This window comes from Homo sapiens, chromosome 11, assembly GCF_000001405.40.
Source record: "Homo sapiens chromosome 11, GRCh38.p14 Primary Assembly".
Lineage (NCBI taxonomy): Eukaryota > Metazoa > Chordata > Mammalia > Primates > Hominidae > Homo > Homo sapiens.
The window spans coordinates 100,261,562-100,282,525 of record NC_000011.10 but is presented as its reverse complement, the minus strand read 5'-3'; the positions used below and the strand labels follow the sequence as shown (position 1 = coordinate 100,282,525).

The following is a 20,964-nucleotide window of genomic DNA, read 5'->3' as shown; positions in this document are numbered from 1 at the left end:
CCCAGCACAGTTCCAGTGGTGGTGGCCACCAGGGTACTTATGTCACTTCATCCCCAGCTCCAGGTGGCTCAGAACAGAGAGACTCCATTTGTTTGGGAGAAAGTAAGGAAAGAGAACAAGAGTCTCTGCCTGGTAATCCAGAGAATTCTTTCAGACCTTCTTCAAGATTATCAAGGCAGTACCTCTACTAGTCTCCAAGAACTACATTACTGGGCTTGGGGTGTCCCCTAAAGCAGATACAGCTAGATAACAATACGCAAGTCCTTTCAAATACCTGGAAAAGCCTGCCCACGAAAGGCAGGTTACAAACAAGCCCAGCCTGCAAAAACTACAATAAATGCCTAACTCTTCAATGGCCAGACACAGATAAATATCCACAAGTATCAAGACCATCCAGGAAAACACGACTTCAGCAAATGAACCAAATATGCCACCGGGGACCAATCCTGGAGAAACGGAGATATGTGACCTTTCAGACAGATAAATCAAAATAGCTGTTATGAGGAAAGTAAAAAAAAAAAAAAAAAAATAGAATGCCAAGAAAGAATTCAGAATTCTATCAGACAAATTTAACAAAGAGATTGAAATAATAAAGAGAATCCAACACAAACTCTGGAGCTGAAAAATGCAACTGACACAGTGGAGAAAGCATGAGTCTTTTAATAGTAGAATTGATCTAGCAGAAGAAAGAATTAGTAAACTTTAAGATAGGCTATTTGAAAATATACGTCAGACTAGACAAAAGAAAAAAGAATAATGAAGCACACCTACAAGATTTAGAAAATAGCCTCAAAAGGGCAAATCTAAGAGTTTTGGCCTTAAAGACAAGGTAGAAAGAGATAGGGGTATGAAGTTTATTCAAATGGATAATATCAGAGAACTTCCCAAACCTAGAGAAAAATATTAACATTTAAGTACAAGAAGGTTATAGAACACCAAGCAGATTCAACCCAAAGAACAATGCCTCAAGACAGTTAATAATCAAACTTCCAAAGCTCAAGGATAAAGAAAAGATCCTAAAAACAGTAAGAGAAAGAAACAAATAACATACAAAGGAGCTCCAATATGTCTGGCAGCAGACTTTTCAGTGGAAACTTTACAGGCCAGGAGAGAGCGGTATGACATATTTAAAGTGCTAATGAAAAAAAACTTTTACCATAGAGTATTATATCTGGTGAAAATATCCTTCAAACATAAGGAGAAATAAAGGCTTCCCAGACAAAGAAAGCTGAGGGATTTCATCAACACCAGACCTGTCCCACAAGAAATGCTAAAGAGAATACTTCAATCAGAAAGAAAAGGACATTAATGAGGAATAAATAATCATTTGAATGTAAAAAACTCATTGGTAATAGTAAGTACACAGGAAAACACAGAATATTATAACACTGTAACTGTGGAGTATAAACTACTCTTATCCTAAGCAGAAAGACTAAATGATGAACCAATAAAAAATAATAACTACAACAACATTCAAATACATAGACAGTACAATAAGATATAAATAGAAACAGCAGAAAGTTAAAAAGGAGGTGATTAAATTTAAGATGTAGATTTTTTACTAGTTTTCTTTTTACTTGTTTGTTTTGTTTGCAAACAGTGATAAGTTATTACCGGCTTAAAATAATTGGTTATAAGCCAGTATTTGCAAACCTCGTGGTAACCTCAAAGCAAAAAACTTACAAGGGATACACAAAAAATGAAAATTACACCATATCACTAGAGAAAAACACCTTCACTAATAGGAAGGCAGGAAGAAAGGAAAGAAGGAAGAATAGACCACAAAACAACCAGAAAACAAATAATAAAATGGCAGGAGTAAGTCCTTACTTATCAATAGTAACACTGCATGTAAATGGACTAACCTCTCTAATCAAAAGACAGAGTGGCTGAATGGTCAAAAAAATAATACGCAATAACCTGTTTCCTACAAGCAACACACTTCACCTATAAAGACACTCATAGATTGAAAACACAGGGATAGAAAAACATATTTCATGCCAGTGGAAATCACAAAAGAGCAGTAGTAGCTATATTCATATGAGAAAAAAATAAATTTTAAGACAAAAACTATAAGAAGACATAAAGAAGTTCACCATATAAAGATAAAGGGGTGAATTCAGCAAGAGGATATAACAATTTGAAATACATGTGCACTCAATGCTTGAGTACCCAGATATACACAGGAAATATTATGAGAGGTAAGGAAAGAGAGATACGCCTCACTGCAATAATAGCTGGAGACTTTAACACCTCACTTTCAGCACTAGACAGACCTTCCAGACAGAAAATCAACAAAGAAACACTGGATTTAATTTACAATGTGGACCAAATCGACCTAATATTTTCAAAACATTTTATCCAATGACTGAATACACATTCTTTTCCTCAGCACATAGGTTATTCTCAAGGATAGGCCATATGTTAGGTCACAAAAAAAATGCTCCTGAATGACCCATGGGTCAATGAAGAAATTAAGAAGGGAATTGAAAAATTTCTTGAAACAAATGATAATGGAATCACAGCATACCAAGACCTATGGGATACAGCAAAAGCAATCCTAAGAGGAAACTTCATAGCTATAAGTGCCTAAATCATTAAAAAAAAAAAAAAAAGAAAAAGAAAAACTTCAAATAAACAACCTAATGAGGCATCCTAAGGAACTAGAAAAGCAAGAGTAAACCAAACCCAAAATTAGTAGAAGAAAAATACAATAAAGATCAGAGCAGAAATAAATGAAATGAAGAAAACAATACAAAAGATCAATAGAACAAAAAGGTTTTTTTAAAGTTAAAATGAACAAATCTTTAGCCAGACTAAGAAAAAAAGAGAGTACACAAATAAGCAAAATCAGACATAAAAAGGAGACATTACATCTCACACTGCAGAAATTCAAAGGATCATTAGAGGCTACTATGAGCAACTATGTGCCAATAAATTGGAATATCTAGAAGAAATGGACAAATTTCTAGACACATACAACCTATCAAGATTGAACTATGAATAAATTCAAAACTTAAGCAGATCGATAATGTGTGATTGAAGCTGTAATAAATGGGCATCCAGAGGGAAAAAAAAAGAAGCCTCAGACTCAATGGCTTCACTGCTGAATTCTGCCAAACATTTAAAGAAGAACTAAAACCAATCCTACTCAAACTATTTCAAAAAATAGAGAAGGAGGGAACACTTCCAAATTCATTCTATGAGGCCAGTATTATCCTGGTACCAAAAATAGACAAAGACGTATCAAAAAAGAAAAAAAAAACCTATAGACTGGTATCACTGGTAAGTATCAATGCAAAATTTCTCAACAAAATACCAGCAAACTGAATTCAATAACACATTAAAAAGTTCATTCATCATGACCAAGTGGAATTTATCCCTGGGATGCAAGGCAAATTCAACATACACAAATAAGTCAATGTGATACATTATACCAACAGAATGAAGGACAAAACACCTATGACCATTTCAATTGATGTTGAAAAAGCATTTGATAAAATTTAGCATCTCTTCATGATAAAAATTCTCAACAAACTGGGTATAGAAGGAATATAACTCAACATCATAAAAATCATATGATGAACTCACAGCTAGTATTATATTAAATGGGGAAAGACTGAAAGTCTTTCCTCCTAGATCTGGAACATGACAAGAATGCCCAGTTTCACCACTATTTTTCAGCATAGTACTGGAAGTCCTAGCTAGAGCAATCAGACAGGAGAAATATATAAAAGGCATCCAAATTGGAAAGGAAGACATCAACTTTTTCTTGTTTGCAGATGATATAATCTTATGTTTGGGAAAATCTAAAGACCCCATCAAAAAACAATTAGAACTGATGAACAAATTTAGTAAATTTTCAGGATACAAAATCAACATACAAAAATCAGTAGCATTTTTATATGCAAACTGTGAACAATCTGAAAAAGAAATCAAGAAACTTATCTTATTTACAATAGCTACAAATAAAATACAACACTTAGGAATTAACCAAATAAATGAAATATCTCTATAATGAAAACTGTAAAACTGATGCAATACATTGAAAAGGACACAAAATAATAGAAAGATATTCCCTGTTCATGAATTGTAAGAAACAATATTGTTAAAATGTCCATACTATCCAAAGCAATCTAGAGATTTAATGCAATCCCTATCAAAATAACAATGATATTCTTCACAGAAATAGAAAAAACAATTCTTAAGTTTATATCAGATCACAAAAGAGCTAGAATAGCCAAAACTATCCTAAGCAAAAAGAACAAAACTGGTGGAATCACATTACCAGACTTTAAATTATACTTGAGAGCTACAGTGATAAAAACAGCATGGCCCTGGCATAAAAACAGACACATTGACCAATGGAACAGAATAGAGGACCTCCAACATAAATCCATACATCTGCAATGAACTTATTTCCAATAAAAATTCTCAGAACATACATCAAAGAAAGGACAGTCTCTTCACTAAATAGTTCTGGGAAAACTGGATAGCTACATGTAGAAAAGTGAAACTAGACTCTTATACCTTGCCATATAAAAATCAAATCAAAATGTATTAAAGATTCAAATCTAAGACCTCAAAATATGAAACTACTACAGGAAAACATTGGGGAAACTGTGCAAGACAACGGAGTAGGCAAAGACTTCTTGAGCAATATACCACAAGCACAGAAAACTAAAGCAAAAATAGACAAATAGGATAATTTAAAAAGCTTCTACACAGCAAAGGAAACAGTAAACAAGTGAAGAGACAACCCACAGAATGGGAGAAAATATTTGCAAACTACCTGTCTGCCAAAGGATTGATAAACAGAATATATAAAGAAGTCAATTATGTAGGAAAAAAAATAAAAAAAACCCAATTCATAAAATGGGCAAAAGATTTGAAAAGACATTTCTCAAAAGAAGACATATAAGTCTGAGCATATGAAAATGTGCTCAGCATAATTGATCATCAGGGGAATGCAAATCAAAACTTCAATAAGATGTAATTTCACCCCAGTTTACATGGCTTATATTCAAAAGACAGGCAATAACAAATGCTAGTGAGGATCTAGAGAAAAGGAAACACTCATACACTGTTGGTGGGAACATAAATTAGTACAACACTACGGAGAACAGTTTGGAGGTTTCTCAGAAAACTAAAAATAGAGCTACCATATGATCTAGCAATCCCACTCCTAGGTATATATCCAAAGAAAGGAAATTAGTTTATTGAAGTGATATCTGCACTCCCACATTTATTGCAGTAATATTCACCATAGCCAATATCTGGAAGCAACTTAAATGTCCATCAGCAGATGAATGGATAAAGAAAATGTGGTACTTGTACACAACGTAGTATTATTGAGCCATACAAAAGAATGAAATCCTGTCATTTGCAACAACATGGATGGATCTGGAGATCATCATGTTAAGTGAAATAAGCCAGGCACAGAAAGACAAACATCACATGTTCTCACTCATTGGTAAGAGCTAAAAATTAAAACAATCGAACTCATGTAAATAGAGAGTAGAAGGTTGGTTACCAGAGGCTGGGAAGTGTAGTTGGTAGTGGGGGTTGGGGGGAAGGGAAGATGGTTAATGGATATAAAAAAAAATTAGAAAGAATAAATAAGACCTAGTATTTGCTAGCATAACAGGGTGACTATAGTAAAAAAAAAAAATTAATTGTACATTTTAAACTGACCAGAAGTGTATTATTGGATTGTTTGAAACACAAAGGATAGATGCTTGAGGGGATGAATACCCTATTTATCCTGATATGATTACTAAGCATTGTATGCCTGTATCAAAATATCTCATGTAACCCCAAAATATATATACCTACTGTATACCCACATAAATTAAAAGTGAAATGTGTGCATAAAAATATATATTTGTATTATGATTTTGACATCCTAATACTAAGAAATTGGACTGAACCAATTTATCTTAGCTTTGCTGACTATCAAGAGTGTTTCTTTCCTTTTTTTTTTTTTTTTTTTTTTTTTGAGAGAGTCTCACTCTGTCACCCAGGCTGGAGTGCAGTGGTGCAATGTCTGCTCAGTGCAACCTCTGCCTCCCGGGTTCTCATGCCTCAGTCATCTGAATAGCTAAAATTACAGGTGTGTGCCACCATGCCTGGCTGATTTTTATATGTTTAGCAGAGATGGTTTTTGCCATGTTGGCCAGGCTGGTCTTGAATTCCTGGGCTCAGATGATACCTATGCTTCAGCGTCCCAAAGTGCTGAGATTATAGGCATGAGCCACCGTGCCTGACCGAGTATTTCTTGATGACCGGAAAATTCAAAATATACTCTTCAGAAAAATTGTAAAGAAAAATTCTGTTTTTTGGCATGCAGAAAAGGGGCAATTCTATGACAGAATAGTTCACTGCACTGCTTTGGAATTTAGAATATTCTATTAAATAAGTGAACCTTAAAGAGGCATACCACTTTCAATTCAACATCCCTAATGTGAGACCTTTTTTCTCCCAAGCAGCTCTATTTTCAAAGTTTAGTTGGCTCTTTAGAGCAGCATTATCTTTTAAAATACTGGATATGTACTTAATAGAGGCAGAGTGCATCATTTGAGAGGATGTCTCCAGACATTGGTGTCTCTTTAAATCTGTGCTGCCTGACAAAACAGGCACATAACTCAACACTTGGCTCAACACCATTAGTAGCTCTAACCCTATGTAGTACCACAGTACAGGAAGCATAAAGGATGCAATACAAACCTTCCTCAACTCACTTTCAAAGGAGAGTACTTCGTGCATTTTTCATGCTACTTCTCTTCCATAAGATTTTAATGGACTAAAGTATGTCATGTATATAGAACTCATGATAAAATAGAGACAGGCAATACATGATTGAGGTAGCTGCAGAAATAGAAATTCTTTTAAAATGCACAATCTGAATACACTTTAGCTTGAAATGTAAAAGTGATCTTGCTAAAATGCTTTTTAATAGCACAAGGAGATTCATACCATAAAAAGTTGAAAAGGATTATTCATCCCAAATGGATTATTTATTTTTGAAATGAATATTTATAGAGAGCCTCTGAATTAGTCAGTAATCTTTGCCTTTGTTTAAACACAATTAACAATATGCAAAGTAAGGCAGCGCTTTTTAGAAAATATGTGAGCATAAGTACTACTATTGGCAGTCATTTCAGTAGCTGCACAGTGAGTACATAAAATGAAGAACAACTAACCTGTTATGCTCTTAATTAATGAACACCTGTACACAATGAAAGCATGGCTGGTTTTATGGATGCATGAAAATCTAACCAGGCAATTAATGTTTAATTTAAAATTCATGCTATTGAAAAGGTAGCAGAAAAAAACAACTTATAATAGGCAAATCACAAAAGTGGAGAAGTTGGATTTTCTGTGGATGAACCTTTTCCAACATATTTAAGCCATTTTACCTTTTTTTTTTGGTTGTTTAATTTTTATATGGAAAAAAACTGAACATCTTTTGTATTGTTATTTACTTTTAATGTGATAATTTGATCATGTGGATTTTTTTGGCAATTAAACTTTTAAGTTCACGGGTACATGTGCAGGTTTGTTACATAGGTAAACTTGTGACATGGGGGTTTGTTGTACAGATTATTTCATCACCCAGGTATTAAGCCTTTGAGCACATACCCAGTAATGGGAGTATCGGGTCGAATGTTTTTTCTGTTTTTAGGTCTTTGAGTTGTCGTCACACTTTCTTCCACAATGGTTGACCTAATTTATACTCCCACCAACAGTGTATAAGTGTTCTTTTTTCTCTGCAACCTTGCCAGCATCTGTTATTTTTTGACTTTTTAGTAATAGCCATTGTGACAGGCATGAGATGGTATCTCATTTGCGGTTTTAATGTTATTGCATTTTGTATTTCTCTGAGGATCAGTGATGTTGAGCTTTTTCTCACATGATTGTTGGCCACGTGTATGTCTTCTTTTGAAAAGTGTCTACACATGTCCTTTGCTCACTTTTTAATGGGGCTGTTTGTTTTTTTCTTGTAAATTTGTTTAAGTTCCTTATAGATGCTGGATATTAGACCTTTATCAGATATAGAGTTTGCAAAAATTTTATCATATTCTGTGGGTTATCTGTTTACTCTGTTGACAGTTTCTTTCACTGTGCAGAAGCTCTTAAGTTTAATTAGAACCCATTTGTCAATTTTTGTTTTTGTTGTAATTGCTTTTGTCATCTTCATCATGAAATCTTTGCCTGTTCCTATGACCAGAACAGTATTACCTAGGTTGTTTTCTAGCATTTTGATAGTTTTGTATCTTACATTTAAGTCTTTAATCCATCTTGAGTTAATTTTTGTATACAGTGAAAGGAAGTGGTCCAGTTTCAATCTTCTGCATATGGCTAGCCAGTTATCTCAGCACCATTTATTGAATAGGGTATCCTTTCCCCAGTGCTTGTTTTTGTCAGATTTGTCGAAAATCAGATGGTTGTAGGAGTTAGTTCATATTTCTGCACTCTCTATTCTGTTCCGCTCATCTGTATGTCTGTTTTAGTACCAGTACCATGCTGTTTTGGTTACTGTAGCGCTGTAGTATAGTTTGAAGTTGGGTAACATGTTGCCTCCAGCTTTCTTCTTTTTGCTTAGCATTGCCTTCTCTATTTTGACTCTTTTTTGGTTCATATGAATTTTAAAATAGTTTTAGTAGTTCAGTGAAGAATGTCAATGGTAGTTTAATAGAAATACCATGAACTCTATAAATTGCTTTGGGCAGTATGTTCATTTTAATGATATTGAATCTTTCTATTTTTGAGTGCTAGCGGGTTCCTGGGTGCCTGTCTCCCTGGGGACATTCACCACAGTGGCGGAGGCAATGCAGTTGAGGTTGGGCCTGGAGCGATGGTGGTGGTAGCGGGTGCCTGATGACAACTGTGTGCCTGCTTGCACTGGAGGTGGTGTTGGCTGGGGGCAGGGCACTGACAGGTGCAGGTCTGGGTGCCTTCTCTGCTCTGCAAGCTGGAGGGGTCACTCAAGGTGGGGGAGGATCCGCTGTCATCTGCGCATTCTTAAAGCAAGGGTGGGGTACTTGTTGGGACAGGGCTTGCTGGCTCTGTACCCACTAAGACTCTGTCTGCAACGGTGGTTGGCAGGGGAAGGGGAGCAGACTGTACTACCAGGCGCTGTCAGGGCAAGGAAAGCAAACCCAAATCCCCACCCCTACCCCTAAGCAGACACGCCCAGCAAACTCATGTGGGAGTTGTCCCATGGAGGGATGTCGGGGACGCTGCGGCTGCAGTGTGGGGAAAGACTGTGCAGGCTGGTGAGTGGCCATAGGAGCCGCCCTGCTTAAGCTCTCTGCCTTTCAGTCAGGGTCTGCCAGAGGAGAAGCTATTGTGAGGCCTCTCAAGGCTCCCGAGGGCGCCCTGCAAGCAGGTGTGGCCATACTGAGGCTCGGGGAGAGGCCAGCAGACTAAGGTGTTGCTTAGGTGGGACTGGCCCCATCTGATGGGCAAAACTGCCTTACAGAGTTCAGGACAGACAGAAAGTTCCCCTAGGGCTAAAGTCTCCTATGGAGCAAATCGAACCTAGGGGGATGGCCATCCCTGACCATGCTTCACTACAGATGCTCTTGCACCAAACCCTCTGGGCTCCACATCAGCTGGCTTGCAGCTCCTACCACTTCTGTATGCAGCTCTCCCTGCCAAGTCCAGAGTCCGTGGTGGTCTAGGGGGTCTCCTTCTGCTGGGGTTCCAGAGGCCTGTGGCAAGAGTGGGTTGCTCCTTGCCAGTTCAACTCACCAATTCCCCCAGAGCTGTTGGGGGCCAGAAATAAATCCGGGTGTGCTGTAGCCCCGCGTAGGGGTCCCAACGTTTTCCCCCAATCAGCCCAACCTCTGTGTTTTCCCTCTGTCCACTCTCAGTGCCTTCCCTGTGAAGATCTGTTAGGAGCACTCTAGTCCTCTGGGTCCCTCAGTAGGAGCTGTTCCATTTGTCTTGAGTCTAGTGGGCCATCTTGGGATTTTTTTTTCTTTCTTTTCCCTCCCTCCCTTCCTCCATTCTCCTTCCTTCCTTCCTTCCTTCTGAGAGGGCCATAATATGTTTTAGAGAAAAAGTCAACTGTTTTGAGAGTTTATTTTAATGATTATAAGCTTTGTTTAATTTGTTAGAGGTCAAAAGTCATATTTTTGGTTCAGTTCTATAACTATAATACACAATGGACACAGTTAATTCTTAGTCTTGTATGTATATGTGTATCTGACCTATGTACTGGTGTGTGTAGGGGGACATAAAGGAAAAAATTGTTCCCTTTAAAAATATGACATGCTGAGTACCAGTACCAAACACTGTTCTAGGTTTCAGTATAGGGCAGTGAACATATATGACAAACCTTCATTTTCAGTGCACTTTTATTTGAGACTCATATATTATCATTGAGCATAAAAACATTAGCATTTGTTATTTCTTCCTCCCTATACCTATCCCTGATCCTCCTCTTTCTATTGTTTTCATATTGTTCTTATCAACATTCATGTTTGTGTTCCCCTAAGTAAATGTCTAACCAGATACTTTCTTAATATACAACATTAGAGGGACATAAAAGACCTCAATGAGACTTTGTCCAAAGTCATAAAAATCTACTCAGAAAATTTCTGTATTCCTTATTTCTTTATTTTTCTGCACCTTCCAGGTGATAGGCAAGATATCTTAAAATTCAAATAGAGCTGTTAATTCCTCAGTCATTAGAAACCTTTTATCAGATATGCTTTTTCTAAAAGCTGAGAATAATGTAATGTTTTCAAAGTCAAGGAGCAGATTGGTATTTATTTTACATATAGACTTCAGGAAGGCAGTAGGTCAAGGAAGGGCAATGTTTACTATTTGCAAAGTGTAATTTATATGGGTTTTGTGGTGAAGGGTAACATAAAAGAGTTCTAAGGAAGTACACTGTAATTCAAGTAAAGTATCACTGGAAAAAAAGAAGGTGAACCGATTTATTCTAAATCTTAAGTGTATGCTATATTGAATGAGTATATTATTAGAAGAATAAATGAACTGCTTTAATTTCATGGTAACCTGAAGATGAGTACAAGGATTGGGAGAAAATTGAAGCATTTAGATGACTGTATTTGTGGAAACAGGGAGAAAAAGTTCTGAGAACAAATAAAATGAAATAATTATTTTAAAGAAAATAATTTTATGATGTTTAGGTAAATGAATCAGGACAAATTATGCTAAAGCAAGCAATGGAGCAATCATGGTTAATTCAACTCACTTTCAAGACGATTAGAAGCATACCAAATCCAATCTGACTCTTCCAAATTTTTACCTGCTTCATTTGTGCGGATCATTCGAGATGGGGTGCTTGGATCTCCTGTCCCAATAGGGTTGGTGGCTACCACTCGAAATTCATATTCCACCCAGGGATTTAGGTCCACAGCCATGGCTGACTCCATGTCCCCTGTTATGATTTCTGGGACTATAGAAAGGAAGGAAATTTCATGTCATTATGAGGACTAGAAAAATGCTACAAATGGCAATCAAGAATATTAATGCTACTGACAGAATCAGAAGGCTAATGCATATTTCCTCACGACACGTGGTCATGGTGTCACCTCCAGTGTCATTAGTAAAATGAAAATCAATCTTCAGGGAGTAAGCACTTACATATGTCAAAGTTTGTTGGAGTTAATTAGGACTCTTTCATTTTATCTTTACACAAACCTCACCATTATGTACACTAATAATTATTTCATCAATCCCTCAGCCCCAGATAAGGGGCCAATTAGAACTATAATTTAAACAGTTTTCTTTCATTTTCTAGGAAATTTCTTGAGCAGTTTGCTCTCCCAGTTCTGGCAAACATGTTTAGTCACTTGGTAATTCCAAGCAGCAAATTAAGAATATATCTCTCTAATTTAAAAACACAGTTTGTGATATCTGAGTAGAAACATTGAATTCTTAGAGTGATTTTTGTACTACCTTTACATTTTTGTACTACATTTAAATTTTTGTCAGGGCATAACATTGTTTGTCAATACAATTACCATTAGTGAAGTATTTTTACATGGCATGCATGCTTTATTTGGGACTGCTTTTCTTGTTCACTCATCTCTGCTGTCTAGGAAATGTTTCTAAACATTTGTTACAGGAGTGAAAAGGCAGAATGTGGAGAATCTCCCTTACAGCATGCAAAGATCCTCTGGATTTATATCATTCTTGGATTTCTTTGTAGGCATGGCAGTAGAGCCGGGGTGGGAGTTGGGGATTTTGATTTGAGGACTCAATTCTGTTTTTACCACAGCAAGGTGGAATGAAATCGCCTTGGATTTTCCATGAAAATCTCTTCTGAAAGGTACCAAAAGAATGTTACCAAATAAGTAGCTCTGTGAAAGGTGAATGCTCAGAGCATAGGCAGTGTGAGCTGCCCGACAAATCTCACAGCACTGCAGGGCTGATGTGTTTTTTTAAAGCAGTGACATGAAGACATGGAAAAAAACAAACAAACAAAAAACAACTCTGTTCCCTCTTGCTGCACTGGCAACTGAGCAGTACGCTTGGAGTCTAAGAGGTGGGTGAGGGAAAGGCCACTGTCAGACCACAGCTTGGTGAAATGCCGAGCTATGCTTGACAAACATACAAAAGAGAAGAAGGCATTCCCAGATCATGCTCAGCCTTCTCTAGCCCAGAACCTACACTGTATCACCAACACTTGCATTGGGAGCACCAGGACTTAACATCACTGTTTCATTTACTTATATAAGTCATCTCAAGTAACTCCAGACATCTGGACCATGCTCAGCCCTTTTATTCTAACCTCCTGAGAATTCTGCCAATTTCCTCTTCTGCCCAGCACATATCTCTCCCTCATTCTTGAAGTTCTTCCACTGTGACAGTTGGAATTTATGATCTGTCATTAGCAAAATCCCCTATATACTTAATCTCCTCTCTGGGCATTCCTACAACTTTTTACTCCAATAGAAACTAAAGAAATTTTACCCTTATTAAGGGGTGGACCTCTTAAGATATCACGGAGAAAAAGAACCAGCCCTTTTTTCCTCTCTCTCCCACATCTCTAATGGATGTTTCCCATCAGCATACAAGCATGCAGGTGTTTTTCTCTGAAAAACAAAACTAAGGTCTCTTAACATTTCCTCTCCTTCCAGCCTTCGCTCAGTTTCTCTGACTCTTTTGAGAACTGTTTGTGCTATTACTTACTGTCTGCAATTATTTTTCTTCCATTCTCTTTTGAACCCATGCTATTCAGACTCTTACCTCCAGTTTTCCATCATACTGGCTTCTGTCAAGATTACCAGTGAATGGTCTCTGTTACTGAAACCTTAAGGCCAGATCTCTATTACTCATCTCACTTGAACTATCATCATCCTTTGACACAGTTGATCATCCTTTGAAACACTTTTCAAAACTTAACTTCTGTTTCTCTCCCACCTGACTACGCCTTATCAGTCTCCATTGCTGATTTCGTTTTGTCTTCCTGATGCAAATGGCTCTACTGTTTTCCATTTTCTTATTCCATGGTGATTTATCCAGCCTCATGGTTTTAGATACTCTCTATGCTGTTAACTAATATTTTTAATGAACCTCTTCCCTAGATTTCAGACTCATATGTTCAGTGGCATATTATTAATAGACATTACTATTTGAATAGATTTCTGCGGTATTCTTATACGGGGAATGACAATTGCTTTCTTACAGATGTTGTATCCCAAATCTTCGGGCCGTCCTGGACTCCTTTCTTTCTCCCCTGTCTCACTCCAATCCATTAGAAAATTATGGCATCTATGACTTCAAACTATGTTGATATCTCCACTTATCTTGGCAGAAAGATTTCTTGGAAGAGTTGTCTATATTAATTTTTCTCCTATTGTCTCTGGAACTCATTCTTGATGGACTTTGATGCTGATGCCTACCATTACATAAAAACTGCTATTGTCAAGGTTACCAATGACCTCCATATAGCTAAAACTAATGATCAATTCTCAGTCTTCATTTTACTTGACATCTCAGTAGCATTTGACACAGCTCATTAGGCCCTTTTCTTTGATAGGCTTTATTCCTTTATTTTCCATGGCATGACATTATTTTGGTTTTCCTTTTACCTCAATGATTGCTTTCATTCTGCCGCCTTTGGCTGGTTCTCTTCTCCACAACTTCTTACTGTTACAATGCTCCAGGGTGTTATTTTCATAATTTTTATTCTTTATTTTATACTTACTTTCTTGGAGTTGACATACAGTCTCATATTTTAAATTATTTATATGCCAATAACTTTACGCTAAACCTCTCACTTAAACACCATACTTATATATCCAAATGCCTACCTGAAATCCCATTTGGATGTCTAACAGATACATCAACTTAATGTGTCTCAAATGGAACTCTTTATCTCATTCCTACCCAATCTGTTCCAATTATGAAGGTTTCTCAGGCTTCTCCATGTCACTTAACAGTAACTCCATTCTTAAGTTGGTTAGGTCAAAAATCTTACAGTCATCCTTGAATTCTTTTTCTCTCATACTGTTTACATCCAGTTTTTCAGCAAATGCTGTTGGTTTTACCACCCAAATAGTTTCAAATTCTGACCATTTTTATGACCTCTGTCATAAAAGCATCAGTGACCTGCGTCACCAAGCTTCTGTCACATTGAAGCACCATCATCTCTCAATCATAATAACAGCTTCCTAAATAGTTTAGTCACTCTTCACTTACCCCTCCCATAAGTCTATTTTTTCACATAGCTTGAATGACTGTATTAAAACATAAGACTTAGAAAAGCAATCCTCCGACGTCTTATTTCTCTGACGGTGAAAACCCAAGTACTGTATGATCTGGTCTTGCCAATATCTCTCAAAACTCATCTACATTTCTCCCTAAACCTCATTCTGCTCCTGCCTCACTGATCCTCTAATGCTCTTGCATATCATGTTCCTAATACTTTTGCTCTAGTTGCTCCTTATACCTGGGCTGCCTTCCCCTAGATATTGGGATAGCTAAGTTCATACCTCTTATAAAATTCATGCAAATATACCTTCTCGGTAAGGCATACCCTGACCACTCTATTTCAAATTACAACCTTCCTGCTATGGACTAATGTGTCCTCCTGAAATTCATCTATTAAAGTCCTAACCCCTAATGTGGTTGCATTTGGTGATAGAGCTTCTAAGGAAGTAATTAAAGTTAAATGATGTCATAAGAGTGGGGCTGTGATCTTAGTGTCCTTATAGGATGGGACACTTGAGCTTGCTCACTCTCTCTTTCTCTCTCTCTCTGTGTGTGTGTGTGTGTGTGTGTGTGTGGTTGATTCATGTGAAAACAAAGAAGGCCACTTGATGTTGGAACTCCCAACCTCTAGAACTGTAATAAAGTAAATTTCTGTTGTTTAATCCACTCAGTCCATGGAATTTTGTTATAGCAGCCTGAGTTGACTGATACACTGACCCTGCCATAGTACTTCTGATTCCTCTTACTCCATTTAATTTATTTTCCCCCATAGTACTCATCAACTTCTAAGATACTATATAATTTACTTTCTTATTATGTTCTCTGTTTATTGTTTGTCTTCACCTGTAAGAATACAGTCTTCACAAGGGCAAGGATTTATTTATTTGGTGTTGTTCATTGATACACTGCATGTGCCTAGAACACTTCCTAAAAGGCGCTTGGTAAACTTTTATTAAATGAATGAGAGTTCAAATTGCCTAGTGTGATCAGAATTGGCAATATTAATTAATTCTGCTTGAATCTTGATGTAATTATTATAAGCTTTATGTAAAATACATATAAAAATAATCTTCCTTCCAAAGTTATGCATATTTATATCCTCTTGGTCATAACTAGAGATTTTAAAGACTCCCTTTCCAAGTCCATATCCTTTCCACCACCCTTCATTCCTCTCTTTAAAGTGAAAAAAAAAAAAAAAGATTTGGAAATTCTAAATTCCCTGTTGCTTGTAAGAGATATAAAATAATTATAAGTATTAATTGAAGGTATTATTATTTTTGGTGAAATATAATGCAATATGAAAGAAAGTAAAAACTTTCTCTTTTATACAATTAGGGTTTTGATTTGAAATGCAATATTATGGAGATTAAGGATAATGGAGGATTTATACCAAAGTAAGTATTTTAAAAGTCTTGCAGCATCTTTTTATAAAGTTATTATTTCCAGAACTTTAGGGACAACTTGGTTTCAAAGAAAACATTGTGCATCAGAGAGAACATGACAGCAACGAAAGACAGTGGAAGACCTTATAGTGACTCAGGGAAAGCATCTTTTTGAACTGCCTTTCCAAGCAAAAGAATCACATCTAAGACTGTTTATTTTGAGACAAGATCTCCTTCTGTTGTCCAGGCTCGTCTCAATCTCCTGGCCCTAAGTGATCCTCCCACCTCAGGATGTCCCAAAGTGCTGAGACCACAAGTATGAGCCACCCAAATCCAGCCACCAATTTAATTAATAAAATACCAAATAAATCTGTTCAGTTGAAAAATGTAACCAATCTGTGCAAAACATATCCACAGATAGAAGACATATCCACTGATAGAATATTTAAGAAGCATATCTGAGTTAAGTAAACAAAGACCAATGAATTCTATGATTATAGGCAATTTTATATTCCTAAGTAGACATAATCAAAAACTATGTCAGCTAATGCTTCTCAGTAATATAAAAAAGAAAGTCAGGTTTCTAAGTCAAAAGCCATTTGCTTGAGTGGAAAAGAGGTCTGCAAGTGAGATGTTATGGCTGTTTGCATACTTTTTTCAAAATAAACAAGTTATTCCCATTTACATTTTAGTCTCATTTGCAGGAGGCGGTATTCATACGTTAAATCCAAGATGTGCTCAGCTAGAGGGTTCATGTGGAACCTCTCACTTCATTTGCCAAAAATGAGACATTATTTTTTATGCTCATTTTGGTATATTTTAAATGCTTTTCAAGTAGTAGATTATCAATTGCATTAACTGTGTCAGCGAGTTTAAACTCCAGATTCATTTTTTTTCTAATGGATATTGTTAAATTAGAGTTAATTTTGATTGAAATTAATTTAGAATGAGGGAGCAACTATGAAACCAAAAGGCCCATGACCTAGTGGAGCTGGTGTGGCTCCAGAGAGACTTATTTCCCCATCACAGGCATGAAAGAAATTGTGAGAATGAGCATGGTACTAAAACCAGGAAGCATCTAAAAGAGCTATTTTGGAGCATGCAAACCTTGTGGACAGCTCCTCATCAGGCTTTCCCTGAGGACAGCATGCCTCTGCCAATAGCTGCAATTAATGGTGCGTTTTGGAGAAATGAGTTAGAAGAGGACACATCTAGTGATAGCCCTAGCACCATGAAGGGTAAATACAATTGATCACTTGCAGAAATCGTTTTCTGAAGGAAAACTTTTGTATAAGTACAGCACAATTCTTGGGTTTTTAGAAGTGTTGTTCTTGCTGAATTGAATTAAAAAAGAACTCTGAAAAATATCACCATCAAAAAGTGGGCAAAGGATATGAGCAAACACTTCTCAAAAAAAGACATTTATGTGGCCAACAAACATATAAAAAAACCCCACAACATCACTTATCATTAGAGAAATGCAAATCAGAATTACAATGAGATACCATCTCATGCCAGTCAGAATGGCGATTACTAAAAAGTCAAGAAAAAACAGATGTTGGTGAGGCTGTGGAGAAATAGGAACACTTTTATACTGTTGGTGGGAATGTAAATTAGCTCGACCCTTGGGGAAGACAGTGTGGTGATTTCTCAAGGATCTAGAACCAGAAATACCATTTGACCCAGCAATCGCATTACTGGGTACATACCCAAAGGAATACAAATCATTCTACTATAAAGATACATGTACACATATGTTTATTGCAGCACTATTGACATTAGCAGAGACATGGAAGCAACCCAAATGCCCATAAATAATAGACTGGATAAAGGAAATGTGGCACATATACACCACGGAGTATTATGTAGTCATGAAAAAAGAATGAGTTCACATCCTTTGCCAGGACGTGGATGAAACTGGAAGCCATCATCCTCGACAAACTAACACAGGAACAGAAAACCAAATGCCACATGTTCTCCCTGATAAGTGGGAACTGAAAAATGAGGACACATGGACACAGGGAGAGAAACAACACATACTGGGGTCTGTCAGGGGATGAGGGGAGGAGAGAGCATCAGGACAAACACCTAATGCATGTGGGGCTTAAAACCTAGATGACAGGTTGATAGGCACAGCAAACCACCATGGCACCCATATACCTGTGTAACAAACCTGCACGTTCTGCTCATGTATTGCAGAACTTAAAGTAAAATAAAAATTTAAAAATATTTCTAGCATTCAAATAATATTAGAAAGATAAAGATGCAACTTTACAGTAGGGACTTCTAAAACAAACACAAAAATAATTCAAATGCCTAAATCCTCCACATACATGATTATGTATGTTTTTATATACATATATATATACACACATATGTATATATATAAACAAAAAGTAAAAACAGGTGAACTGAGAAAGAAAACCATAGGTGAGAATCAGAACATAAGTGTAACTAGCGAAGCATGGATGTAGCAGGTAGAAGATAGGTACTGGATTGCTATGGGCATAGGATGAGTAGTAAAACACACATGTATTGCAATGTATCCACAAGGAAAACCTCTCCAAAAGTAAGCTGCATGGATAGTGTGGCAAGAGCAGACAGGGAGCATGGCTGTAGGCAAGAGGATGAATTAGATGAGTGCACAACACCAGATCTGAAGGTGAGGTCATCTCCTGGCTGCAGAGCCAAAGATTTAAGCTGTCATACTAAGAATAAGATTGAAGCACAGGGTTGAAGGTTATAAGAATTTTTGAGTAAATCTGCTCATGTGGTTTAAATGTGTCCTTCCTGAATTAACTACCATACCTAGAAATTCTCCAATTTTGAGGTCTTTAAAGGTATCACAGGGTTATAATGGATCCAGGAATGAGGCTGATATGAGCAATTATCTATAATACAAAATAAATATGTATATATGCATAATAAATATGTTTATAGACACTATAATGATCAAACTGAGGTCTAACAATGCAGGAGCCTAAATATCAAATAAATTCTGAATTAAATTCTGCATATAGATAAACAAATTTTCTCCTTCTGATATTACAGTGTTTCATACAAAAACTCAAATTTCATTTACCTACACAATAAAATGAACCACTTTACCCTCATAATATTCTGGTTGAGTTTTAAGGTTACTGCGTGCAAATATTTTACTGATTTCTATATTTCAAAACAGGTCAATAGAGGTCATTAGAGTTTAAAACAAAAACACAGTTGTTACTCAGTATGGACAATTGCTTCTAAAGATTCTCTTCTGTAGACTTACTGTACACTTTTCAAATACCAGTATGTTAAATAAGTGTCTAGTAACTATCCAGTAAGTGTGATTTTACATATCCCTGCTGGACAGCCACATTTGGAGAGAGATGGGAAGTTGTAAAATGAAAAGAAAATGATTAGAGATGAAAAAATTTTTAAAATAATGCAACTATAATGCAAACATCTTGGAAGTAGGCATTAAAATGCTGTGCAGTGTAATTTTATATCAGATTTTCTTTTTTTTATTATACTTTAAGTTCTGGGATACATGTGTAGAACGTGCAGGTTTGTTACATAGGAATACACATGCCATGGTGGTTTGCTGCACCCATCAACCCGTCATCTACATTAGGTATTTCTCCTAATGCTATTCCTCCCCTAGGACCCCACTCCCTGGCAGGCCCCAGTGTGTAATGCTCCCCTCCCTGTGTCCATGTGTTTTCCTTGTTCAACTTCCACTTATGAGTGAGAACATGTGGTGTTTGGTTTCTGTTCCTGTGTTAGTTTGCTGAGAATGATGGTTTCCAGCTTCATCCATGTCCCTGCAAAGGACATGAACTCATCCTTTTTTATGGCTGCATAGTATTCCATGGCATATATGTGCCACATTTTCTTCATCCAGGCTATCATTGATGGGCATTTGGGTTGGTTCCAAGTCTTTGCTATTGTGAATAGTGCTGCAGTAAACATACATGTTCATGTGTCTTTATAGTACAGTGATTTATAATCCTCTGGATATATACCCAGTAATAGGATTGCTGGGTTAAATGATATTTCCAGTTCTATATCCTTGAGGAATCACCACACTGTCCTCCACAAAGGTTGAACTAATTTACACTCCCATCAACAGTGTAAAAGTATTCCTATTTCTCCACATCCTCTCCAGCATCTGTTGTTTCCTGACTTTTAATGATCGCCATTCTAACTGGCATGAGATGGTTTTGTGGTTTTGATTTACATTTCCCTAATGACCAGTGATGATGAGCTTTTTTTCATACATTTGTTGGCTGCATAAATGTCTTCTTTTGGGGAAGTGTCTGTTCATATCCTTTGCCCACTTTTTGATGGGGTTGTTTTTTTCTTGTAAATTTGTTTAAGTTCTTTGTAGATTCTGGATATTAGCCCTTTGTCAGATGGATAGATTGCAAACATTTTCTCCCATTCTGTAGGTTGGCTGTTCACTATGATGATAGTTTCTTTCACTGTGCAGAAGATCTTTAGTTTAATTAGATCCCATTTTCCAATTTTGGCTTTTGTTGCCATTGCTTTTGGTGTTTTAGTAATGAAGTTTTTGCCCATGCCTATGTCCTGAATGGTATTGCCTAGGTTTTCTTCCAGGGTTTTTATGGTTTTAGGTCTTACGTTTAAGTCTTAAATCCATCTTGAGTTAATTTTTGTATAAGGTGTAAGGAAGGGGTCCAGTTGCTGTTTTCTGCATATAGCTAGTCAGTTTTCCCAATACCATTTATTAAATAGGGAATCCTTTCCCCATTTCTTGTTTTTGTCAGGTTTGTCAAAGATCAGATGGTTTTACATGTGTGGTGTTATTTCTGAGGTCTCTGTTCTGCTCCATTGGTCGGTATCTCTGTTTTGGTACCAGTACCATGCTGTTTTGGTTACT

At 36.7% G+C, this 20,964-nt stretch overlaps 1 protein-coding gene across 7 annotated transcripts in view; it reads right to left on the bottom strand.

Annotated features, from left to right (window-relative positions):
* CNTN5 (contactin 5) overlaps positions 1-20,964 on the bottom strand; it is a 1,337,937-nt gene that overhangs the window by 76,360 nt on the left and 1,240,613 nt on the right. For all 7 annotated transcript variants that reach the window (XM_017017926.2, NM_014361.4, XM_011542871.2 and 4 more), the window contains one exon: positions 11,285-11,434. In XM_017017926.2, coding sequence (XP_016873415.1) covers positions 11,285-11,434 — 150 coding nt within the window. The remainder of the gene's footprint in view (positions 1-11,284; positions 11,435-20,964) is intronic.